The sequence below is a fragment of the Homo sapiens genome, chromosome 5, assembly GCF_000001405.40.
Source record: "Homo sapiens chromosome 5, GRCh38.p14 Primary Assembly".
Taxonomy (NCBI): Eukaryota; Metazoa; Chordata; class Mammalia; order Primates; family Hominidae; genus Homo; species Homo sapiens.
The window spans coordinates 36,672,822-36,698,461 of NC_000005.10; the positions used below are offsets into that span (position 1 = coordinate 36,672,822).

Genomic DNA, 25,640 nt, shown 5'->3' on the forward strand with positions numbered 1-25,640 from the left:
ATGTTTTTATTTAGTTCATACAATTAATTAAGGCTTTTCACCATTTCTGCATGAACTTTACCCTCAGATAGTTTAGATTAGAAGTATTTTATTATATTACATTTTCTTTCCCTGTAATTTTTATTCCTTGTTTGAAGAATTGGAATCTTGTCATCCCCAGTCTGGTTGATCCATCAGAAGACTGTGTTTCTGCCCTGCCTTGCTGCAGTGAAAAATGTATCCTGCCTACAACCAATCACTTGGTTTGAACATTTATCCTGGAATCTCCTGAATGCATATTTCTATCAAGGTTGATAGCAACAACCTCATAGAGTGTAGATAGGAAGGAAAAGAAAACAGGATGATCTAGTAGGAAGAAAGGGACAAGCATTTATAATACTAAAATATAACTTTGATAACGTGCAACTGCTGGATTCTTGAGCCTGTGATAACTGCTGGATCATTTCTCCTTCTCCCATAGTCTTTCATCTTGGAGCTCTAATGATAGTTTAATCCAATCTCCTCTTTAAGAGATGAGTCAAATGAGACATAAATGGGTGCCATGACTTGGCCAGTGTCACACAGCTGATGACAGACTTCCCAGCCAGAGTGTTGTCCCTCACTCTACCCCCTACAAACACAAACAGTGCTTTGACAAAGTCTCTGAAGAAGTAACAAGTCCTGCCACATGGGCTTCAAGTTCAAATTTTGCAGGTCATCTCTCCATTGGCTACCAAAGAGTTGCAGAAGCTTTAGCAATTCAGTGCCAAAACCCCATTCCCCAGAACGCCTTTGGGAGGCTTTTCTGGAGAACAAAATTCCATAGGCTGACCATGGCTTTTGATTCAGAACATTTGGTTCCTAGACACATGGCACAATAACCAAAATGACCACTGCTAAACAATACCTTAGTTAGCCAGAAAGCTAATGATAAAAGTCATTTCCAGTCTTACTTTGATTATTCCTAGTAGCAGGGTTTTTAATAATATAATGGCTGAGTGAAGAACCCCATTGGCTGACAAGAGGATAAATGAGTCAAGTTTGGACTCCCCTGAAAATATGAACTACATGGGCCACACTTAGGGAGGACCATATATTCTTTTCAAGCTGTAAAATCCACTAACATTTTTGTTTTTCCATTTGTTGCTTGGTTCAATGCAATCTTTACCTTACACACAATGAAACAGAATTTAAGGAGCAAACTTATTACTTGGAAAATTTTGCAAGTGACTATTACTTTCTTTGCAGGAACATGTTCCCTCCAAATCTGGTAGAAGCCTGCTTTAAACAGGTAAACACTCTACAGACATTAACTTGCCTTTTAAATTCCTCTTTTCTATACCAAACCAAGTGGGACCCTCTTTTCCCTGCTCATTTCTCTGCTATAAGAAACACTTCTCTTGTCAACCAGATTAAAAACACTAGCGTTTTCTAGGAATTTTGGGGGGAAAGGATGGTTCTTACCTTGTATTGAAAGCTTAGTAGTTGTCAGACACAGTGTGTCTTGCATACAAATATCTCATTGAGTCTGCTATTGTTAAGAAGGCTAATCACAAGACCCCCCCTTCCTATCACCCAACTCCCCACTGGCAAAAGCCCACCAACCAAACAAACACCAATATAAAATATATTTATAACTTGCCTTAAAGAAGATTAGAGAGATTATTTAGATTTCTGGGTTTGATTTAAATATCAATGGACTGTTTTTTTTTTTCAAGTCTACCAAGCACCTAATGGACTCTAAAGGAGAGCCAAAGCAGAAAGGAATGGCATCATCATTCATGGAAATCCTGCTATATGCCAAGCACTAACATTATTTTTAGTCCTCACATAAATACTATAAATATCATTGTCTTCATTTCACTGATGGGGCAGCTCATCTATAAGACTCAAAGCAATTATGTATCGTGCACAAATTCTCACAAGTAGTAAGTGGGAAGACTCGGAATTCAAATTCATTGTGTTGACTCCAAATTCTATCTGCTTTCTGCTACTCCATTCTGCTTCCATGAAAGGAATATTCAGGGCGATGAGACACCGACCTGGAGGCTATACTGAGGTCCAGCTCCTTTTAGCTCATATACAAGCAACTCTTGGCTCTGTGTTGCAGATACAAATACCTTTTACCATTAGAAGATAAAAGCTCACTTTAACCTCACTTGAATATAAGAGCTTTGTTGCCTAAAATATTAAAAGGGAAACAGACACTCTTGGTTAAATAATATTTCCCAAACATTTCTCCAGATGGTGTCAATTCACTCCTGTTGTAATTCCCTAACGCTTCTGCTTAGGATCTGTAAAACAAACCAAACAAAACCCCAACCTAGTAGAAGACTGGATTTTACACATATAAGTCTCCCTTTGTTTTTTTTCCCCTTGTAATAATTTTTAAGACTATTTTTAATATGTAATGCATGCACACATTGAAACATTCAAACCAAATTCTTTCTTTAAAAAAAAAAATAAGCCTGAGGCCAAAATCTAACTTTCTTTGTTCAAAAACAACTATAACTATAAATAATAAGCGCCTTTCAATCCAACCAGCCAACTCTAGCACCATGGGGCTGACGATTCCAGTAAGTCAGCTGGCCCTGTGTGATATCAAAAATGCTGATTTCCAGATCCTTCAGATGGAAAAAGTGCTGACTTGTACAGATTGATTGTGTTTGATTTGGATTTGCATTCACAGGATTTTGAAGGGAAAGAAAATGTTTCTCCCCAGGTCTAGTTGGCTTAGACCAGGATGCAAACAAGGTTGCAGTTTCTGTGCATGCTGCAAACAGAGTCTAAGGGGAATGAGTTAGAGGCATAAGAAAGCCTGATCAGGATTGAAAATCTGCCCTGGACAATCCATAAAATGCATAAGGACCCAACGGAATAAAGAAATTTGAGAGTTGGTTGGAATAGATGAATGGGGCCAATTTTTTTGTTGCTTGAAATTACCAGTGCTACTAACTGTTCATGAATGTGTCCATAGTATTGACAGCTGGCCATGGCTTTGTTTGGGAGTAGTTGTTTCCCAGTGGATAAGAAACTTTTCCATTAACCCTTGGTAAAGAAATGACCAAGCACTTCATATACAGCAGCACTTTCTTCCCCTAGACTCTAGATTCACTCACCATCACTCACCATTATTACTCTCACTGGTGCTTTCCCTACAATCACCATCAAGATCAGGAATTCTATTCTCATTAAAATCACAGAGGGATGAGTTTACTTGTTTCATGTGGCCAGCATCTCCTGACTGGGGCATCTATGTAGAAACTGAATAGATGATGGGAAAAAGACCATCTCTTGAGTTAGAAGAGAAACCCCACTATAGACTTGGAGAAGATGAGCTGTCATCACCAACTATTAATCAGGCACCTATTCTTAAGAACTAATAACATCAAGAATGGCTTGGAAACAGCTTGTTTAGGGATTTTTAATTTGTAATACCCACTGAAATCTCTAAACAGGTCTAATCCCTGAAGGGCTTTTTCATTGAGCACCATTAGCAGAAATTAGTACAATACTTTAAAATTTGCAAGATGTTCTCCTATATTCTGTTTAATTTGATTATCACAACAACACTGTGAGGTAGAACCAGCACAACTGTTCTTGTTTCACAGCTGTAGAATATGAGAGAAAGGATACCAGGTGATTTATCTATTATACCATAGCATGATCCCCACAGAAAAGAAAAGGACTATTGTGAATATTTGGGTTTATGGTTTTAAAAAAATCCCATTATAGTCATTTTATTAGGGTTTCAGAAGAAAGCAAAAGCACATGCATGTGTTTAGTCCAGCATCTTTAGCTGGATATCTCTTTCCTGTTATCATTTGTTATGTATTTGAGTGTGTGTATGTGTGTGTGTGTGTGTGTGTCATGATTTGTATGTATTTCAGTATGTGTTTCTGTCTGTCTGTGTTGAGAAACTAGTAGGGGTTTGCCACAGATTAAAGAGAGAGAGAGACTTTCTATAACACTCATCTCTGAATACAAAGTAACAGAGTAACAGTAATCATTTTAGAAAATTTGACAATAGGAAAATATAAAGAAAAAAATAAAAATCACCTTTAATCCTCGTTGTGCTTTTTATTTTTAAGTTTAAAACCAACTATGAGAAGAGAAGCTTTAAAGTGCCCATCCAGGCCAACGAAACGCTTGTGGGTGCTGTGATAAACAATGTGTCTGAGGCCATGGAGACTCTTACCCGAATCACAGAGGAGCTGGTCCCAGTTCCAGGATCTGTGAATGGAGTCAATGCCCTGGGTCTAGTTGTCTTCTCCATGTGCTTCGGTTTTGTGATTGGAAACATGAAGGAACAGGGGCAGGCCCTGAGAGAGTTCTTTGATTCTCTTAACGAAGCCATCATGAGACTGGTAGCAGTAATAATGTGGTATGTATTTCCATTTTCTATATATGTTATATACGAGATGGTTATTGCCATCAACATGTGTTCTGTACTGAGGAAGGTGCCACGAGGCAGGATGGCCAATTGCAGTTATCTCACTCTGGTAAGCCCAGGAAAATCAATGAATCTCTGGGCCTCTAGAGGCCTTGAACCTATCTGCAAGCCTCTTCTAATAAGTTTGCTTCCTTGTTTTCAAAAGCTGTCACCTCCTTTTACCCCAGTGCTGATGGAATCTCATTCCTCATTTCTCCATTTTTTATCTAGTTTTTCATTCAAGACATAATTATTGAGTGTCTACTATATGCTAAGCATATAGTGCCAGGCACTGTGGATATAGCAATAAAGAAAACATACAAGGATATTCCAGATCTTACACTCTTTTAAGGGAGACAGACAATAAACAAACAAATCAATCAACCATATGCTTTAGTCACAGGTGCTGTGGAAAAATAAAATAAAATTGCAGGTAACTAGGAGAAGGCACAAAGTTTGCCTTGGATGGTGCAGAAAGGCCTCTGAGGAGGTGACGTACTTTGTTAAGACCTGAATGAACAGAGGAAGCAGTCATACCAAAGTGCCAGAAGAAGGGTGTTTCCAGTAAAGGGAAAAGCAAACGGAGAGGCCCCCTAGGCCATCAGGAAAACTGAGGGCTCCTCATCTGTTTCAGCCCTAAGAAAGAAATGTAAATGGCAGTTCTGCTGCAATATCTAAAAGATTCACAGGAAGTATTACAAAATGCCAAGCCACAATTTATAACAAAATTTGCTTTAATAAAGTTGACAGCAGGAGACAAAGGAAGAGACTATAAATGCAAGAGGAACATTGACCTTGGAAAGTAAACTTTACCCAACGGGGAGAGAACGCTTTGATTGACCTAGGCTTTGTGTGGAGGTTGCTTCTCTTTCATTCTTTATTTTTAATCCAGTCTCCTCTGTGGTACCTGAGGCAGGAAAGCATCCATTGCTAAGAAAAGTACTCAGTCACCAACATGATTAAAAATGCCCTTGTCTTTAATGCCAACAAAGCCCAGAGAAATCCATTTTTCAGGAATTTGTACAAGATGGATATGAACTTGGGCACAAAGACAGATCAGAATGTGGTCTCCACAGGAGCCCCCACTTGGAAGGCTCCTTTGAAACCCTGGCAGGAATGAAAGTGGACATTTATCTTCATATTATTAAATGCCTCCACCTTTCACCTCTTTTATGAAAGAAGCCCATTCAAGGCCACTGAATGAATCTCACATGCAGCTTGTCTAGCTGTACATTCGCCTGCACATTCAACGCTGAGTTATTATATTTCTGAAAACAGGTATTCCTATGATTTCCTGGCCTGGGTTCTTAAAGGACTTTTGAAAGAAGCATTGTATTTTTCGATTTGAAACAAGTCCTCCATAGTTCCCAGGAGACCCTTCTTCTTAAGTGTGATTGGCTTCTCTGTGTTTGGTAATGTGAGTTTGGTTGTAGTTTGCTGCACATATGAAACAAACAGAAGGGAAATCCAGGCAGCGAGGCCTTTAAGCAAACTCTAGGTTATTTCAACATGTAGAAATCATTTTGAGTCTCAGTTTATTGTCTGCAGAAGGAAAGCTCATAAATGGCAGTAGCAGCCTGTGGGGAATAATGACTTCATTAGAACACCTATAACCTGATTGCAGTAGTACATACATGCACATTATTAAGTTTAATAATGAATTTATTTTATGGACATCTTCTAATTATGGCAAGTGGTACTAGATTTCCATTTGTACTATAACATAGAATTTTCTCTTAAAGTAAATTTACTTAAGTAAAAAAGGTGATCTGAAGAATAATACTAAGTAATCTTGTAAGTGGTATGAAGATATGGAAAGGCAATAATAAAAGTGGCCCTTGAATAAGAGAACTGACTGCAAACCTGAGACACTGGTGTAGCATCGTGTGCCTCTTGCTTTAACTTGGGAATCAGGCTCTGATGTGGAAAATGCTTCCAAAAGTCTGGATATTGGTACAGTGGATTCCGGCTGTTCAGGACACTTAGCAAGGGAGCAGGAGGCAGAGGGAGTGAGTGGCATCTGAGGACCAGAAAAGTGACCCCCATGTAGTGAAAGGAGGGCTGGCTAGGAAGACAGAGGTGGGTATCAAAAGCTCTGTATCTGCCTTTTCCCCCAGGTCTAAGAGAAAAACATTGTGTCCTAGAGCAATTCTCAGTGAGGGGAAAGCCCGATTCTGCAAGAATCAGGGGAAATTTATATTTACAAAAGAAAAAAAAGAAGTCCACAGTTTCTGTAAGAAAAGAAGTCCACAGTTTCTGTAAGTCCTAATGGTATCCTGGGCAGGAAAGTTTGGCAGTCAACTCTCTTTTCCCTTTTTCTTATCACTTGGAAATTTCTGTGGACTAGCTTGGTGGAAACCAGACTCCAACCGTGCTGGTGTTGCTTCTCCCCAGGTATGCCCCCGTGGGTATTCTCTTCCTGATTGCTGGGAAGATTGTGGAGATGGAAGACATGGGTGTGATTGGGGGGCAGCTTGCCATGTACACCGTGACTGTCATTGTTGGCTTACTCATTCACGCAGTCATCGTCTTGCCACTCCTCTACTTCTTGGTAACACGGAAAAACCCTTGGGTTTTTATTGGAGGGTTGCTGCAAGCACTCATCACCGCTCTGGGGACCTCTTCAAGGTATGTATGTATGTGTGGAAAATGAGTCTGAAATGTTACCTTGAACCAGGGCCCCTCAAGTAGGGTGTAGGAGAAGCCATTTTATTCTGAGTTTTAAACTTCCAAGAATGATGAGTTAGCTTTCTCATTTCTGATGTCAATCACACCTGTTTGGGATTCAGGAAATGCCTGGCTACATATCTTTTGTGGGGACAAATTGGAAATCAACTATCCTTTCCCGTCCACTTCATCTCTCTTTAGTTGACATTTGCCTGAGGGAGAAGAGGCAGAGTGACTTGGCACAGGCTGTCGTGATGAGGGCATGATCACAAGTGATGCCTCACAGAGGAACCCAGAAGCAGGAGAGCTGCCAAATGACCCCGTGAGGGGACCACACTGTTCTTAACCTGCTCCCCTATTTATACAATTGCTGACTTAGTTCCCTTTAAGTTAGAACATGGGAGAGGAAGGAACTGTCTGTCCCAAAGACCAAACGCACAGACAGTCAGAACTACCAGGACACTCAGCTGATGTGCCCTATTTCACTGTTCTCAGTTCTGCCACCCTACCCATCACCTTCAAGTGCCTGGAAGAGAACAATGGCGTGGACAAGCGCGTCACCAGATTCGTGCTCCCCGTAGGAGCCACCATTAACATGGATGGGACTGCCCTCTATGAGGCTTTGGCTGCCATTTTCATTGCTCAAGTTAACAACTTTGAACTGAACTTCGGACAAATTATTACAATCAGGTACAAGGAAAGAGTTCTATACACCCTTTCTTAAGAATGCCTTTAAGGCTGGGCGTGGTGGCTCACGCCTGTAATCCTAACACTTTGGGAGGCCAAGGCGGGTGGATCTCCTGAGGCCAGGAGTTCAAGACTAGCCTGGCAACATAGTGAAACCCTGTCTCCACTAAAAATACAAAAATTAGCCAGGCCTGGTGGCACGGGCCTGTGGTCCCAGCTACTTGGGAGGCTGAAGCAGGAGAATTGCTTGAACCCGGAGGCAGAGATTGCAGGGAGCTGAGATCATGCCACTGCACTCCAGCCTGGGGGACACAGCAAGACTCCATCTCAAAAAAAAAAAAAAAAGAATGCCTTTAAAAGACAAGAGGATGACCAGGGTTGGGAAGGGGATCCCACATAATCAAGAGGTGGGGATTTGGGGTAATCATTCTATATTTAGGTATTTTAATTGGTTTTTTTAGATTATAGATGTATACACTCATTAATAACAAGGTTCAAAAAATATAAATATGTATAAAGTAAAAAGGGAAACTTGCCTGCCATCACATCGCTCCACATCCTTCTGTAAGTGACCATTGTTCATGTTTGGTTTGGAAAGACTTTTCCTATGCATAGACATGCACACACTTCTTTTTTGTAGTTAGTGAAATCATACTATACATACATGTTTGCCTTTGATTGGTTTGCTTATTAATAGACCAATAAATATGTCTACTTCATCATTCTTTTTAATGTCTGTAAAATACATAGTATGGATATTTCTCCTTTTTAAAAGTGTTAGATTATACTTCAATTTTTAAAAGCATTAAAATATGTTAGCTTGTATAGATACTACTAGAAAATAAAAAGTTAGATGAACTTTTTCTCTTGGGTGAATTTTTAGACAGTGTAAGATAGATGACAGACCACACTGACAAGTAGTTCAAGAATCTGATTTTTGTGGAGAATTTTTTTTAACTATTATATTTGAGGTGTTCAGTGAAAAGTTATTTTCCTTTCCATACCTTCCCCCCATCTCTTAGTTTCCTTCTGCAGAGGCAACCAGTGTTACCTGCAAGTTTCTTCTGCATCCTTCCAGAGATACGCCAGGCATACGCATGTGCATGTGCAAATATAATCCCTCCTTTTTGCTTATTAAAAGTTATTTTGCACAAGGGACCCATGAGTCTAATGGCAATGGGACACTTTAAGCCTCACTATCCAGATCAGCCTCTGCTCTTCATTGTTGTGGGGTTTTTTTTAAATTGTTATTAAAAGTACATTTTGGAGAGCAAACTAAGTCAGATTTGGGGGGATTTTTATCACTCAACATTTTGTTGTGAAATGCCCTACATATAGGGAAGTTGAAACAATATTATACCAACCATCCTCTACCAGATGGAAAAATTGCAAACGTTTTGCCATTTTTGCTTCTTCTTTCTCTTTCTCTGCCATTATGACATTTCACCTGTACAAAATTCAGCATGCATCTCCTAAGAATAAGGATATTTTTCTACATAACCACAATAGTAAGAATCTTAAACATACTTCCAGAATATCCAATCTATATTCAAATTTCCACAGTTGTCCCCCAAAACATGTCTTTTACAGATTTTACTTCCAGACCAAGTTCAAATCCACATTTATGGCCTACATTTGGTGTCTTAGTTTCTTTTCATCTAATCAGTCACCACACATTTGTTGTTATGTTTATTTAGAAATAAGTTGTTAGACTCTGTGTATATGTTTTGTGTTAGTAGAAAATGATAATAGTTGTAGTAGGATGCATCGGAGTAAAAAGGAAAAGGCTGATCAGGGCCAGAGGTCAATGACTGACCTGGGGGTTCTGGGAACCTCAGGCCCAAAGTAGTTATAATGGGACTTAGGAGATCATTATCTCAGCTCACCTGTAACCTATACTTTGGCATATTGATTGAAAGGCTCTGGGTTATTAAAAAAAAAAGGTGACAGAGTTAAAAATAACAGTAACAGTGACAAGCAAGATAGAAATATATTTCTCTTTCATGCAGCACAGCTCTGCTCCACAAAGCCTTCAAGGCTGATTGATAGGTGCTCTGTGGTATAAGAGACTAAGTCTCTAGGGTATTATCATTATCCAGGTGGTCCGGGATGACTCACCACCCCCAGATTTTAGTCAGTCGGAAGTGGGGAGATGGTATACCCTGCAAGTTGCTCAGTACCTCCATGCATGTCTGACTGGCCAGAACTTAATCTAAGCTTCAAGGGAGGTTGGGAAGTGTAGTCTTCATTCTGGGGAGCCATATACCAGCTAAAAGTCCCAGTATCTTAGAAGGGGACCAGTATGGGGACCATGAATACTTTCTGTGACAGACTTAATACTTTATTAATACCACTTATAACCAGATAATACTTTACTATTTATAAAACATTTGCTTTGCAAGCCAGGTCTACACTGCCTTCATAAAAAGTATTTCTAATACTATAAAACTTTGTTCATAAATCATTTTGCTTTTGAATTAACTAAGCAAACCAAACTAAGAAACCAAATTTGATTCTTTTGACAACATTAATCATGAATGTTCAGTAACTTTACAACCCTCCACTTGGATAGGGGAATTACTAGAAACAAATTATTATTGTAACTCTACAGCATTTTAGACTTTGCCTTACAAAATACTTTCAGGGATGTTTAAAAGTGTATAGCTGCCAGTTTATTTAAAAACGACTAGAATAATAGGTCCAACTTCACAAGGGTCATTGTACGAGGACCAAATTAGATAAACCATGCTTAGTATATCAGAAGACACATAGTAAGCACATGATAAATATTAGTTAGCATGATGATTAGTTCAATTTTTTTTTTTTTAATCTCATTTACGGGCCAGGCATGATGGCTCATGCCGGTAATCCCAGCACTTTGGGAGGCCAAGGTGGGTGGATCACTTGAGGTCAAGAGTTCGAGACTAACCTGGCTAACATGGTGAAATCCTGCTCTACTAAAAACACGAATATTAGTCGAGTGTGGGGGCATGAAGCTGTATTCCCAGCTACTCAGGGGACTGAGGCACGAGAATCACTTGAACCCAGGAGGAAGAGGTTTCAGTGAGCCTAGTTTGCACCACTGCACTCCAGCCTGGGCAACAGAGTGAGATACTGTTTCAAAAAAAAAAAAAATCTCATTTACGTTTTTTCTGAAGCGCGTCCTCTTGTGTTACATGGCAAGTCAGGCATCGGCACCGTGCGTATTTTGCAGCGTATATGCTCTACGTGGGGAGCTTTGTAAAAGTGTTTTCTGTTCTGGTACTTCTGTTAACAGCATCACAGCCACAGCTGCCAGTATTGGGGCAGCTGGAATTCCTCAGGCGGGCCTGGTCACTATGGTCATTGTGCTGACATCTGTCGGCCTGCCCACTGACGACATCACGCTCATCATCGCGGTGGACTGGTTCCTGTGAGTATGCTTGGCCTGCATTCCAGCTCACTGTCACAGGGTCCCCCTCTGTCACTCTAGGGCACCAGGCAGCCTGGCACATCTACAGAAAGAACTCTGAGGAGAGGGGCCTCTCGGCCCATAGTTAAATTGTCCTTATTGTCTGACCCCTGGTCCTTATCTGGAGACCGAGCCCCAGATGCCATGTGCACTCACTCCCCTGTCAGCCTAAGGGGCACATCTGGCTGCCACACATCTCACTCCATAAAGCCATTCAGGAATTGGGAAACCCGCTGTCTGCAAAGGCAACATAAATCAGCAAGGCTGTTTCTGAGTTGCACAACATGACACCACAGCAGCTGGAACAAAGCTGCAGGCCCCACATGCCAGCTTAGGCCCTGCCTCTGTGTGCTTCCCATTCCAGTGGGAATGATTTTCCCATCCTAGCCCAATAGGGTGAGGCTGAGCTATGCCGACACTGGGAAGAGAGCTAGTGTCATTAAGTGGAATTGAGTTTCGGATCTAGGGAAAGTTACAAGAAATGTGCCCTCCACATTCTCAAACTCTAACCTCTACAGGCCCATCCCTTCGCCCCCTTCCCTCGCTCTTCCAGCTGGCATTCTCTGTGCCTTTTCTCTTAAAAATTTCCTTCCACTTTTGAAAATCTTTCCCCAGGATGCCCAAAGCAAAGCCTAGAACAGAGTACGTGTTGGAGTTAACACAACATATGTTCACTAGAACTGCAACATGAAAAGAGCTTGACAGTGTGCGTGAAACCCCAGACTGGGCGAGAGGATTCACTCCCCAGTTACTTGGACCTGTGTTTGTGTCCTGACCTTGTGTGAGACCGGGCAGATTACCCAACCACCCTAGTTTCTACCTCTGTAAAATGAGGGTGCCCGTGTCCTCTACCTCCTAGGGGTACTGCAAGATTCAGTGCAATGATGCCTAGAAAGCATGCAGCCTACTGTCTGGCCCACAGTCAGCATCAGTTAACATGAGCACTCTCATATAAAGCTACAGTTCTCCACAGTCTTTGATCTTTACACTTCAAAATTATTGAGAACTGAAACAGCATTTGATCTATATGGGTTGTATCTATTCATATTTATCATATTAGACACACTTATAAATTTCCACTTGTTAATTTATTACATGTTTTATTTAAAGGTGATAATAATTCATAAAATAAAATAATGGAATGAATTTATTATCATCTTTAAACAAAAAGGTTATATATGCTAACATAAATAGCATTTTTTTGCAAAAAACAACCATTTCGACCCCAAAATTTATTTTATTTATTTACTTGTTTTGAGATGGAGTTCCATTCCTGTTGCCCAGGCTAGAGTGCAATGGCACAGTCTTGGCTCACTGCAACCTCCGCCTCCTGGGTTCAAGTGATTCTCCTGCCTCAGCCTCCTGAGTAGCTGGGATTAGAGGCGCCCGCCACCACGCCTGGCTAATTTTTGTATTTTTAGTAGAGACGGGTTTCACCATGTTGGCCAGGCTGGTCTCGAACTCCTGACCTCAGGTGAACCACCTGCCTTGGCCTCCCAAAGTGCTGAGATTACAGGTGTGAGCCACGGTGCCCGGCCTCGACCCCAATATTTAGTGAAAAGAATGGTACTATTTTATGTTTTGCAAGTTTTCTTAATGTCTGGCTTAATACAAGACAGTTGGAGTTTCCTGTTTCTGCAGTTTCACAACTGCTTCAGTGAGTTGTGACATCACACATCATGTAGTCTTTGCAAAACTCCACTATACATTCATGAGAAAATGAGACTGAGAGGGACAAATGACATCTTAGTATTATTATGAGAATGGCTTAAAGAGAAGGCTCGTTCCCCACTGTTGGGACTCTCACTTCAGTCAAACTAATAACTGAACATTCATCATCTATATGGCCTTATAACCTTTAATAGCTACTATTATGAATATTATGTGTCTATTACGTAATCTTGCAGTTGGTAGATACGGCGAACTGAATGTTAAGAGGTGCTTCGCTGGCCAGTTCCTAACGTAAGTTGAAAACTTGTGATGCTCACGGGAGCCTCGTTTTTCCCTCCTCCCCACCCTGCCTGCAGGGATCGCCTCCGGACCACCACCAACGTACTGGGAGACTCCCTGGGAGCTGGGATTGTGGAGCACTTGTCACGACATGAACTGAAGAACAGAGATGTTGAAATGGGTAACTCAGTGATTGAAGAGAATGAAATGAAGAAACCATATCAACTGATTGCACAGGACAATGAAACTGAGAAACCCATCGACAGTGAAACCAAGATGTAGACTAACATAAAGAAACACTTTCTTGAGCACCAGGTGTTAAAAACCATTATAAAATCTTTCCATCTCATTACAGCTCATTCGCTCCAGCAAGCCCGTCATCTTCCCTTTCCTCCCTTCTGATAAGACTGGAAAATAGTCCTCCAAAACACAAGGGAGGATTTTGGGTGGCCAAAGTGTACAATTTTCATCCCACAATTGAAATTTTTAAATCATTTCATGTTAGTCTTACCGAATAAGGTACCAAGATCACAAATAGTGTTGATCAGATCTTACAAGTTTATGTGGCACACAATCCTATAAATGTGATTTTTTTATATAAGTTAAAGAGACAAATAGTAGGCTAAAAACATTTTAAAATCAACTTTTGAAATTTAAAAATCTTTCAGAATACAATTCAGTTTTAGTTTCAAAATGTTAACAACTTGAATTACAACCGGTTATCAGTTGGACAGTAAGATTTTATCCCTTTCTCTTCTGACTGGTATACCTATTTCATTAGTAGCTAGGTGCACATATACATCTAGCACAGCTGTGAGGACAGACAGAAGGCAAAGTTTCCATGTGGCCTTGAGCAAGTCCCATCTCACCTCTAGGCCTCAGTGTCCTCATCTATAAAATGAGGGACTTCCCTAGAAGTCTTCATGGTCTCTTCCAGCCCAGACATCCTGTGATGTCATGAAAGCACCTGCCCTCTGTTTCCCCTCAGAACACCCTGTACCATCCATGGAGCACGAGGCCTTCAGAAAAGACACTTCAATGGGAGTGAACATTTCTAACTAAGGACAGGATGGCTGTGTGTGGTGGTCACCAGGTCCTGTGAGCAAAGTGCAGGTTATGCAAGTCGCCAGGCAGGAGGCCATTCCAGGAGTGGGATTATTCATCAAACTCTTTGCCCAGTTCATCCCAATGGGGGAAGTATTCCCTTCTTTCCTACTCTGGGAAGAATGTCTCCTGCCACTCCTCAACTGATGATAGACTTCGAAAACAGATGAGAAGACTAGCAGCTAGCAAGGGTGCTTGTGGTCACACTGTGGAACACTAAAGAGCTAGGAAAGAGTTGAGCACAGGCAACATTACAAACAAAGGATTTGAAAACACCAAGAGTACAGGTCTTCTTTAAGGAAGAATAAAAAAGAAGAGGTTCATTTTTCTGGCTTTTTTTTTCACCTGAAACACTTTTTCTCGAGTCCAAAATCATTCCCCCCGTGAAGTCTGCTTACCAAAACATAAGACGACTTATATATTTGAAAGAAGTCAAATGAATGAGCTCTCTAATAGAAGTCCATGAGTTGAGTGGGTATTTCTTATTTGAAAGTGTTTTTCTTTAATCAAAAGTCCTTAGAATGAGGGAAACAAAATATTTATTTGTTTTGGAATCCCACTTATCAAATCATTCAAAACTTTCAGCTGGAGTGGGGTTTGCTTTTGTTTTGTTTGTGTCCATAAGAGAAATGGTAGAAGATGAATCAGTATGAAGACACTGTCAATGAGGTTATGAGAAAAAAACAGCAGGGGCATTAGTTTCAGGCAAGGCAGCTCCCAGGTTTAGAGATTAATTTTTACCCCCTAAGGAATATCCAGTCAAAGACGCTGAGTGGGAGCTGTCAGGCAGTAGCAGCTGTGTTTGAGTTTCTGGCTGAAAATGGTGAAGAATGGACTTAATTATGCTAACAAACTGAAAAATCTAGACATAGATCCTCTGATATACAATTAGAGATATTTTTATATAGACCCCAAGCATTCTGTGCATAAAAGTTAACATTAGGCTGTGGTGCAGTAACCATTTAATGTCGAGGCTCTATTTCGGAAATACACTACAAATGTTAAAGTACGTGGCTGTCCTCTTAAGACACTAGTAGAGCAAAGACTTAATCATATCAACTTAATTCTGTTACACAATATGTGTTTTTTAATATACTAACCATTTCTTATGGAAAGGTCCTGTGGGGAGCCCATCCTCTCGCCAAGCCATCACAGGCTCTGCATACACATGCACTCAGTGTGGACTGGGAAGCATTACTTTGTAGATGTATTTTCAATAAAGAAAAAAATAGTTTTACATTAACATCTTTGCACGTTGTTGTTATTCTTCTCCTCAAAGAAAAATACATTTTCCATTCATGGAAATATTACAATAAGCTCAGGGCAGTCTCTGGAAGGATCCCATGCAGCAAGGTAAAATCTTGGCAGAGCCAGCCACAAGAAAATAAGTAAGGACATGCTCTCCTGCTCAACTCCAAGAACTGGAGCTGGAAACAGGAGGAGGTGAGCGGAGCACTTTGCTGTAGCAGGCCATACTTCCTTGTCCATGTCAGATTCAAATTTCTCAGATGAATTGAATCATTTCCATGTCGGGATTAGAAAAGTGTGATACCACCATGGGCCCTTCCGAAAAAGTAACTTCCTGTCTGACCTCCAAATTAGGTAGATTTATCTCTGTGATTATTACCACCATTTGTGAAAAGAGCTAACTAAGATCTCAAGGGATTTCCAGAAACAGCCATTGTGCTGGTGCTCTATTCATTAAGAACAGCTTACGGATGACTACTTTTCATCATGCTTTTTAGTAAAGAATTCGCAGGCAATATCATGAAATCTCCAGATTGAAGTAGTGTCTGGAGCCTATAATCTGACCCTCTCTACCAGCAGGTGGCAGCCACCTAGAGGAAAGGCTCTTAAGTTGGATCCATGGACCCCTAGGTCATCCACATGAGAGTTCAATAGGTTCATCGCCCTTGAAGTTGTGGGGAAAGTTTTGTGCATTTGCCTTTTTCTGGGGGTAAAATTCTTAATTTCAATCGGTTTCTCTAACAGATCTTACGACTAAAAAAAAAAAAAAATTTACAAATCGCTATGTTTGAACCATACACCCTAACTTTTGTGAAGGCATATGTGGTATTTACATGACCAGTTTGGGAAAAGAAAGGCTGCTCACAAACTGAGGGAACCAAGCCTGGCCACCCTGAGCAGATCAATATTTGCCCCCTGTGAAACGTTCTGGGAAGTGCCGCATAAAATCAATCCACTGCTAGGAAGTGCTCCCTTCTGCCGGGACCATTTTCTTCCCTTCTGCAGCCCACGCTGGGTTTTGGCCACCTCCACAATGCAGACATAAGAAGCAGGTCATCTGCCTGTGGGAGGTCTGTGGAAAGCCCCTTATGGTTAAGGGAAGTGCCTCTCAGCCAGAGTATGACAAAGAGGGTGGAGAAGCAGGCCTTAGATCCCAACATGTGGTAGTCACACATGTGCTCACAAATGGAACTATGAAAAATATGCAGGTTCACAGCTTTTTTTTTTTTTTTTAAGATACAGGGTCTCACTCTGTGATTATGGCTCACTGCAGCCTCGAACTCCTGGGCTCAAGCGATCCTCAGCCTCCCGAGTATCTAGGACCATAGGCTCACACCACCACGCCCAGGCTAATTTTTATTTTTATTTTTTGTAGAGACAGGATCTCGCTATGTTGCTCAGGCTGGTCTCAAACTCCTGGCCTCAAGCCATCCTTCTGCCTCAGCCTCCCAAAGTGCTGGGATTACAGGAGTGAGCCGCTGCACCCAGCCTCTGGCTGACATTTTTTAAAATGTTTCTTATAAGTTATTACATTTAACAAAATATTTAAATCCTACCCTCAGAAGTTAGGAGTCTATGTCCTCCTGTATCCACATTCATCCTGGTACCACCACTGTCCCTTCCCACCCAAGCAAAATTCTCCTTTTCAAGAGAAAAAATCTCACTTTACCTCACTATACCTATAAGTAAAGGCATAGAAAAAAAAGTAAAATCCTTGACTCATCTACACAGTGTTGAAAACAGAAGTGTGAGTTCTGTTAGCTGAACGGGCCTGGAGGAAGCGTGGCGGGAAGGCTGGATCCCCGCCGCAGGGGCTGCGGGGCTGTGGCTGCCTGCGGGCTGGGCAGGGCCGGGCGCACGCCCTCCTTCCGGGTGGCCGCGGGCCCCGACCCCAGGCTGCCGTCAGTCGAGCGGCCTCCGCAGCGGCCGCGCTTCCCCTTCTCCCACCCGGGTGGTCCCAGAACTGGAGCAACAATGGCCGGCTCTGTGTGGCCGCGTCCTGGGGCCAAAGCAGTCGGGACGTGTCACGCCGAGGGAGGGCTCCGAATGAATACGCTGACAATAAGAAGGAAGGGAGAGCGAGGGAGGTGATGGGCAGCGTCCTAGAGGGAAAGCGGGAGATGAGAAATCTACGAGATCCGCGAGGCGGCGTCCGGGGAGCGAGCCTCATAGTGGCCACCAGGGGGAATGCGGAGCTCACCTTGGGCCGCTTCCGCGGGGAGCTCTAAAGGGAGCTGGGGCACTTCCTCTTAGAGATCTCACTTGGGTAACATCGAATTCCAAGTCTGCAGTGCCGAGAGGGAGCAATCTGTGAAAGCCATCAAGTCAGGTTTAAAATTCCTCAGTGCCCCCATGTCACTTTTCCCTCTGTTCACCCTGCTTCTTCAATAGCCTCCCCAGAGGACCCCCTTCCTTTCTGGGTATCCTGTTTTGTCTCCCTTGTGCCTCATCTCCCTTCTCTCCCATCTCCTCTTCCGGATTCTCATCTCCCTCTTCTGTCACTTACATGTTTTGCAGCTACAGACAGGTACTCAGAAGGTGGCATGGTAACGGTTTCCTGCAGGTCATGTCTCATCGTGCCCACAAAACTGCTGTCTCAACCTTCAATTTTGAAACATTCACAGCATGCTGAATTCCACATATAAGTAGGGTTGTCAGATAAAATACAAGACACACAGTTAAATTTGAATTTCGGGTAAATAACAATGTTTTAGTATGAGTATTAAATAACAATGTGGTGGTGTAAGTATGCAAAATACTGCATGGGGCATCCTGTAATTTTATGTGTTAATCTGGCAACCCTCTAGACACTTGAAATGTGGAACTCAGAACAATTTGTATTTGCTTCAATGAAGCTGATATTATAGGTGAAAGAGGTTGCTTGGAGTGGGGGGATCTTCATTATAAAATAATCACCCCCATTTTGAATTTTTCTCTGAAAGCAAAAACATGCTTTAAAAAGCAATTTAGATCTAACATCTCCTACTATTAATTGTTCTGGTGACATTATCACTTATTATGTGCTTGTAAATCTTGTGGCCATAGTTAAAAAGCTTGATGAATCACCTTTAGGATTTCACAAAACTGTCTTGAATAAATTAAGCAATACCTCAGTTATCCATAGTTGAGATATTTAAGACTGACATCTGCTTTTGTTTTCTTCCCTCTCCTATTTTCTTCTTTCCTTCTCTCACTCCTTACTTCTACCCTCCCCACTGCCCCAACATAAAATATTTTCTGTAATCCATTACAGGGCTGAAAATTTTGGCATTCACATATTGTTCTCCAAAGACGGACACATTTTTTTCATTTGGGGAGCACCTATTAGAAAAGCACCCATTTTTTTTCATATTGTGCTATTCAAAGTTGATTATTTTCCAGTCTCTGTAAAGTTGAGAATGAGGCATTTTTCAGTCTCTTCAGGGAACTCCAGCCTCCATGAATGGGAATCATTCCCAAAAAAAACCCCTTTTTAAGCCAAGTCTGAAGGATATGAAAAAACAGGACCCAACTGACACCGCACAAGGGGAACAAAATCAAATCATAAACTCTTTCCAATAATGACATATGCAAAATCATGTAAAGATGGTAGTGAGTGTCCTAGAAGATGGTGTCAGATGACAACTTTTTTATTTCTTTTCCAACTCTTAGCTTCAGAGGATCATAAGTCCTGGAAGCAGCCAGCCAGGAGCTTCCAGACATAGCTGTCACAGGGGAAAATAAAGACCATTTGGAAGTCAGCTCAGCCCTGCACAATGAACTGATGACTGGCCTGCCCTGGGGAGAACTCAGCACGCAAAGATTTTTGTCGGCAACACAAACCTCTGAATGCTATAACCAAATTCCCCTGCCCTTGGCACTCCAGTGCCTCAGTGAGGCCTTCTTTCATTTAAGCCCATGAGGAGCTGTTAGCTAAAGAAGTGGAAAACAAACATGAGAAAGTCAGCAGGCATGTTAGAAAACTCACATGGCTAGACTAAAAATAGCTTTACGCTTCCTAAAACTTAAAGGCCTTCCGCTTCAGAGTGGTGGTTGAACTCAAACTTCTACACGGGGATGGGTTGAATCCACACTTGTTATACCTGAATTCTTAAGCAGTTCAGAGACCCTGGCTGGTCCATTCCCTGCACCTCAGCATCCTCATCTGTAGATGTGGGGATTGCATGAAACCTACCGTCTCCAAATCAACTTTCATATCAAGTGTCTGTGTATTGGAGGGGATGCTAGAGTTAAAACGCTTAGTTAAATGGTCAACTGCCCTTAGCATATGATAGGTTAAACTTCAACTTCCCTATCGTAAATGGGTATCATAATACCTTCTTTATTATGGTGTAATGAGAATTAAATAGATAATAACTAGATATAAGATTCTCAGCACAGTTCCTGGCACTCAGGGAGATTCTTAAGATGTTCAGAACAACACTGGCTCAGTAGGGAGGAAGAGGCACGGGGTGACGCTGGAGGAAGGGAGAGTGGCTCCCGGTGCCATCTGGACCTGCTGTGAGCTGGAAGGAACTCCCCGAGGAGGCCACAGACCTACATTGCCCGGGGGGGACGCTTTGCGGAGGTCGTCACCCCTGGAAACCGGCATCATGAGACACTGCCAGGCTTCTTCACGGAGGGGCCCGGGCCTCTGCGCCCGGGGCGGCCCAGCAACCCCTGCTCGCCTCCGCAGAGGCCTTTTGTCCCGCGGGCTCTCCCAGCGGCCCCGCGCTGCGTGGCCGTTTTGTGAAGGGCACAATCCGATGTTCTGAGGAGACCACCCAGCTTCCTCTCCCAGAGTCTACCAGAGAACAAAACCGCCCCTTCGTGTGCCAGCGACCTCCCCTTCTGCCAGACCCCCTCCCACTGGCCTCCTCCCTGCCCTGCCAAGCGGGGACGGAGAGCCAGCCGGCCCTGGCCCGGTGGGAACCCAGTTGATGGTGCGCTTATTAGCTGTCCTGAGCGCGGGGACAAACTTTCTGTACCTGGGCCGCTGCTGCCACCCTGCGGCCAAGACCTTTCTCTAGGCCCCGATGACCCAGAGCAGCCCGGACCAGACAACGTGCAAAGAGGAGCGCTTACAGCAAACTCCTCCCTGAGGGGCTCAAGGAAGGCTGGAGAGCCAGGAAACAGTTCCGATGGCTGAAGGAAAAAGGAACTCATGCTCTGTGGCCACAGCACTGATTCTCAAAGTGTGGTCCCACAACCAGTATCAGCATTCCCTGGGAACTTAGAAATACAAATTCTCAGACACCACCCTAGACCTACTGAATCATAAACTCAGAGGGTAGACCCCAGCAATCTGTTTTTTGGTTTGGGGGAGTTTTTTAGAGATGGATCTTGCTGTGCTGCCCTGGCTGAAGTGCAGTAGTTATTCGCGGGCACAATCATAGCGCACTGCAGCCTGGAAGTCCTGGGGCTCAAGTGATCGTCCTGCTAAAGCCTCCCAAGTAGCTGGGACTACAGGTGCATGCCACCTTGCCCTGCCCAGCCATCTGTCTTAAGAAGCTGACCAGGGGATTCTGATGCACACCCAAGTTTGAGAACCACTGGTCTAGACTCTAAAAAGAAACAGACCTCAGAGGTGACAGAGCAGGATGCTAATCCTGGCTTTGCCTATGAGCTGTGTGACCTTGGGCAAGTTTCTTAACCTCTCCTTGCCTCCTCTGATTCCTATCATGATGAAAATCATTCCTAATTTCCAGGATTGTTGAGGATTAGATCAGAAAGAAAGGTGAAGTCACTGACATATATTCGTGCTTGATAAAAGGTGCTTGCTTCCGGTGTTATTATAATGGGGTCATAAATGTGCCCGCATTAACACTAGAATGTACAGAGAAAACACAATTCCTCTTTTCATTTATTTAGCAGGTATTTATGGGATGCCTACTGTAATGGGCAATGTTGATAAAGCCCCTCCCTCCAGGGAGGTACATTTTAATATCTGTGTAATATAGGGTGCTATGGACTGAATTGTGTTCTCCCACCCTTCACCAACATTCATATGTCAAAGCCCTAACCCCCAATGTGACTATATTTGGAGATGAGGCTTATAGGAGGTAATTAGGGTTAAATGAGGTCACAAAGATGGGGTCCAAATCCAATAGGATTGGTGGCTTTCCAAGTACAAGGAGAGAGAGAGAGATCTCTTTCCACAAGCACACACCAAGCAAAGGCCATGTGAGGACACAGTGAGAAGGCAGCTGTCTGCAAGCCAAGAAGAGGGCCCTACCAGAAATAAGTCATGCTTAGAGGGTCAGAGGGTCAGACAGAGGCATTCCAGTGAAAGCAACACCGTAAACTGACGTATCTTCCTCTCCCCACACCTCTGCGAGGCAGTTCATCCAGCACGCTGCTTTTGAGCATCGATGTGGCTGGACTACACAAGCAGGATTACTCTATTCTTAAAGATTCCCAGTTGCTGGTTTTAGAACTTAATCCCCCTTCCACATTAGAAATGCCCTCCTTTAGTGAAATTGTAAAGTTCTCTTACCACATATAGTATAAAAACCTTCAAGTACAGAAGGGAAAGGCATATATAGCCTGGGCTGGGCACGGTGGCTCACACCTATAATCCCAGCAACTCGGGAGGCCAAGGCAGGAGGACTGCCTGAGCCAAGGAGTTTGAAGCCGCAGTGAGCTATGATCGTGACATTGTACTCCAACCTGGGCCACAAAGCGAGACCTTGTCTCTAAAAAAGAGAGTGAGAGACAGGAAGGAAGGAATGAAAAAAGGGAGGGAGGGAAGGAGGGAGGGAGGAAGGCTGTTGTGTAGCAGGTGCCTCACAGTGATCCTGTGAATAGACAGAATTCTCCTCATTTCACACATGAAAATGTTGAGGTTCAGAAAATAAGCAGCTTACTCCAGGTAAAAATCGCAATTTGAGTCTCTCTCCAAATCCAAAGCAGGTGTTTTTCCCCTTAGACTGTTTTAACCATGGAAATTATGTCTGGTCAAGCACTGCAAACCAAGAACTTCATCTGAAACATACTGTGGTAATATCTCCTAGGCCAGTGTTTCTCTTTTTTTTTTTTTCTTTGAGACGGAGTACTGCTCTGTCGCCCAGGCTGGAGTGCAGTGGCACTATCTTGGCTCACTGCAACCTCTGCCTCCCGGGTTCACGCCATTCTCCTGCCTCAGCCTCCCGAGTAGCTGGGACTACAGGCGCCCGCCACCGCGCCCGGCTAATTTTTTTGTATTTTTAGTAGAGACGGGGTTTCACCGTGTTAGCCAGGATGGTCTCGATCTCCTGACCTCGTGATCCACCCGCCTCGGCCTCCCAAAGTGCTAGGATTAGAGGCGTGAGCCACTGCACCCGGCCTAGGCCAGTGTTTTTCAAACTGTAGGTTGTCAGTTTAGAGGGTCCCAATTAGTATTTTTTAGTGAAAGAATAGAGCAGAATAGAACAGAAAATATCACATGTATTAAAGTATTGTTTCAGGAAATTTTTATTATAATTGTGCGCATGTGTGTATAGGCTTGTAACTTGAGTAACTTCCATTTCATGATTAATAAGTGTAAAGCCACAGTTCCAAGCTTTTTCTGATCAATAATCCATCACCAATCAATAATTTTTCCACCCCTTGAATTCAAGAGTTTGACTGGCTTGCTGTTTCCAGAACTGATCACCTTCAAGGAGCTTTTATCTTCCAAATACAAACTGTTTCTTAGGAAGTGATGCTGTGGACTTTCATATTAAAGAGCCAAGTGTTCTACCACCACACATTTCCAAATTCAGTTCTGGGTTCTGTAATATATGTTCTTCTGACCTAGCCTTCCAAAATCACCCCACACTGATGAATGTGAAGATGGGCACCAAGACCAAGTTAAGCTTCTCTTAGACAGTACCTGCTGGTGCTGCTTGCCAAATGAATAAGCGTGCCCTGGCACCTAGCTCTGGAAACAACCAAGTAGAGGAATCTCTTGTTAGCACTGACATCTGGTGGTCACTGAGAGGCCAGCACCCCAGCATCTTGAACTTAAAAGTATGCACCTGGGAACCAGGCACCAACCCCGACGACTCCAGCAGAATTGATTCCTCGTCCCCCTCCTCTCCTGGACCACCTACCTTCTCCATGCAGCTGGACTCAGCAAGCTGGAGAGAAAGATCAAGGATTTAGAGTCGGATGCAGCCAGGGTCCACAGCCTAACACGTGATCCCAGGTAAACTATCTAAACTCTGTAAGACTCAGCTGCAAAATTGGGATAAGAAAACAATCTACATTGGGCATTGGGGTATCTTATTTAACTCTCAAAACAACTTCTTTGATGTTAAGTTCCACATACCTATTAAGCATCCAAATGTTGATTCCCTTCTTCCTTCTGTCATTTTATTTAAGGCACGCTCTATTCCTTCAAAGTCTTGAGTCCCACTTCCTTTCTATCATTTTTTGTCTGGCTTACTCCATTGAAATAATAGCTAATATTTATGGAGTGCCTACTATGAGCCAGGTGTTGTTCTGAGATGTACACTGTTAAAATCGAGCTATGTCAGCCCTCTGAAGTCAAGACTATCATCTTCCCTCTGTTTCACTGATGAAGAAAATGAGGTGGGGTGAGTTTAAGCAGGTTGCCCAAGGCCACAAGTCTTGGGACTAAATTTTTAAACCCAACACTGTAGCTCCAGAAGGCACACTCTTAACTTTTGAGCTGAATTTGACTCTTTGCCTTCTGTTGTAATAATAGCTAATGCTTATTGAGTGATTATTAAGTGCTGGGTTCTTATATATATTATCTCATCTAATCTTTACAAAAACCTATGAGATCATTATTATCATTATCTTCATTCTACAGATGAAAAAAACTGAGGTTAAATGATCCGCCCGAGGTCACGAAGTCAACAAATGGTGAAATTGGAATTCCAACTTGGATAGTTGGATTCTGTAGTCTTTGGCCTTAACCATCCTTCTCCTGGAGGGGATGCTGGAGTTATGTAGTTCCAGCCTCCCAATGAGCCTGTGATCTCGAAGGCAGAGCAGTCTCTGCTGGTAGAAGGCACTTCCTTGCCAGATGGTTGATGACAGTGATAGTGATCTGGCTACGCTGGTGAGGCCAGTCCTGCCTTTGTGGCTGCACAGTAGCGCAGCTTCAAGGAGAGGTCAATAGAAAGGCCTCAATGACTCTCAGGTGACTCTCAGCAGATTTCCTGCCCAGTGTCTAAAGGCAAGGGACAATAATACTGACACTAAGAGAGCTCTCAATTCAATGTGCCATCCCTGACATGGGTTCTTGTCATTCCCTTAATTTAAACTCTGCAGTGGCTTCTCATGGCTCCAGGATAAAGTATAAATTCCTGCACGGAGTGTCAGGGTCTCTGATTACTGAACCCCTGCTTCCCTCTCCATCCTGATTTGCAGTCCTCGCCTCTGTTGGAAGGAAATAGCCACAGAACAAACTTGCCCCCCATGGCACTGTGCTCTCATAACTCCAGGCCTTAGTTACACATGCTGGTCCTCATCTGGAAACATCACCTCCCTACCCCAACTGTCCCCTCGCACCCCAAACCACTCGGCCCACCTCCTTGTTGACTCCAACTCCTACTTCAGTGGAGGCAGCAGGTGTTTCAGGAAGCCTTTCCAGACCCCTCTTTGTTCCCCTTGGCCTCCCAGGTTACTGATATCATGGCAGAATGTGGTCTGTCTCCCACCAACTATATGCTTCTTTAGGGCAAAAAGTGGGTTTTTTAAAAAACCATTGTACCCCAGTGCCTGGCACAGAGTAAAAAAATAAATTTAAGTATATATATATATAAATTTAAATTGTATATATATATGTATGTAAAATGGTGAATTTCAAATGACCATTGTTAGCAACTATTTGAGTGCTGCGCACTTCCCCTTCCATTCTTTCCCAGTACAGGTGTTACTGACATTTTTGGTGAGACAATTCATAAGGTGGGAATGCCCTGAGAATTGCAGGCATTTGACATCCCTGAGTCCTGGACACCAGATGCTGGTAGGTCCCCACCCCTCTACCATCCCCATCACCCTTTCCCATTTTCCACCTTTTCATCCTTGTTGCTGTGACAATGAAAAATACACCTTTACATATTTTTTTAACATCCTCGCAGAGGTACCTTCCTCAGAACCACTGTAGCTAAAAGGTGTTTCCGATTCGGACAGAACATACTTTCCTTGAAT

General features: G+C 42.9%; 1 protein-coding gene and 1 long non-coding RNA gene across 14 annotated transcripts in view, besides 3 other annotated features; one reads left to right on the forward strand and one right to left on the reverse strand.

The window, feature by feature from the left end:
• Positions 1-15,513, forward strand: part of SLC1A3 (solute carrier family 1 member 3) — a 91,747-nt gene extending 76,234 nt beyond the window's left edge. For 9 of the 13 annotated variants that reach the window (NM_001438455.1, NM_001438456.1, NM_001438454.1 and 6 more), the window contains 6 exons: positions 1,228-1,270; positions 4,071-4,363; positions 6,806-7,039; positions 7,574-7,768; positions 11,043-11,177; positions 13,244-15,513. In NM_001438455.1, coding sequence (NP_001425384.1) covers positions 1,228-1,270; positions 4,071-4,363; positions 6,806-7,039; positions 7,574-7,768; positions 11,043-11,177; positions 13,244-13,448 — 1,105 coding nt within the window. In that variant the 3' untranslated portion in view covers positions 13,449-15,513. Of the gene's footprint in view, positions 1-1,227; positions 1,271-4,070; positions 4,364-6,528; positions 6,670-6,805; positions 7,040-7,573; positions 7,769-11,042; positions 11,178-13,243 lie in introns of all 13 variants that reach the window. The other 4 variants (NM_001438459.1, NM_001166695.3, NM_001438458.1 and 1 more) reach the window with 3 other exon arrangements.
• SLC1A3-AS1 (SLC1A3 antisense RNA 1) overlaps positions 1-25,640 on the reverse strand; it is a 59,294-nt gene that overhangs the window by 6,927 nt on the left and 26,727 nt on the right. The window lies entirely within an intron of this gene.
• Positions 16,589-16,818: an enhancer, noted in NCBI's record as "active region_22480". NCBI's record gives its function as "activates an Ori minimal core promoter by ATAC-STARR-seq in GM12878 lymphoblastoid cells {active_cell/tissue: GM12878}" and the evidence as "EXISTENCE:reporter gene assay evidence [ECO:0000049][PMID:35858748]".
• Positions 17,274-17,473: a silencer, noted in NCBI's record as "silent region_15973". NCBI's record gives its function as "represses an Ori minimal core promoter by ATAC-STARR-seq in GM12878 lymphoblastoid cells {active_cell/tissue: GM12878}" and the evidence as "EXISTENCE:reporter gene assay evidence [ECO:0000049][PMID:35858748]".
• Positions 23,306-23,600: a silencer, noted in NCBI's record as "tiled region #9536; HepG2 Repressive non-DNase unmatched - State 13:Ctcf, and K562 Repressive non-DNase unmatched - State 12:CtcfO". NCBI's record gives its function as "represses a minimal TATA promoter and a strong SV40 promoter by Sharpr-MPRA in HepG2 and K562 cells {active_cell/tissue: HepG2 | K562}" and the evidence as "EXISTENCE:reporter gene assay evidence [ECO:0000049][PMID:27701403]".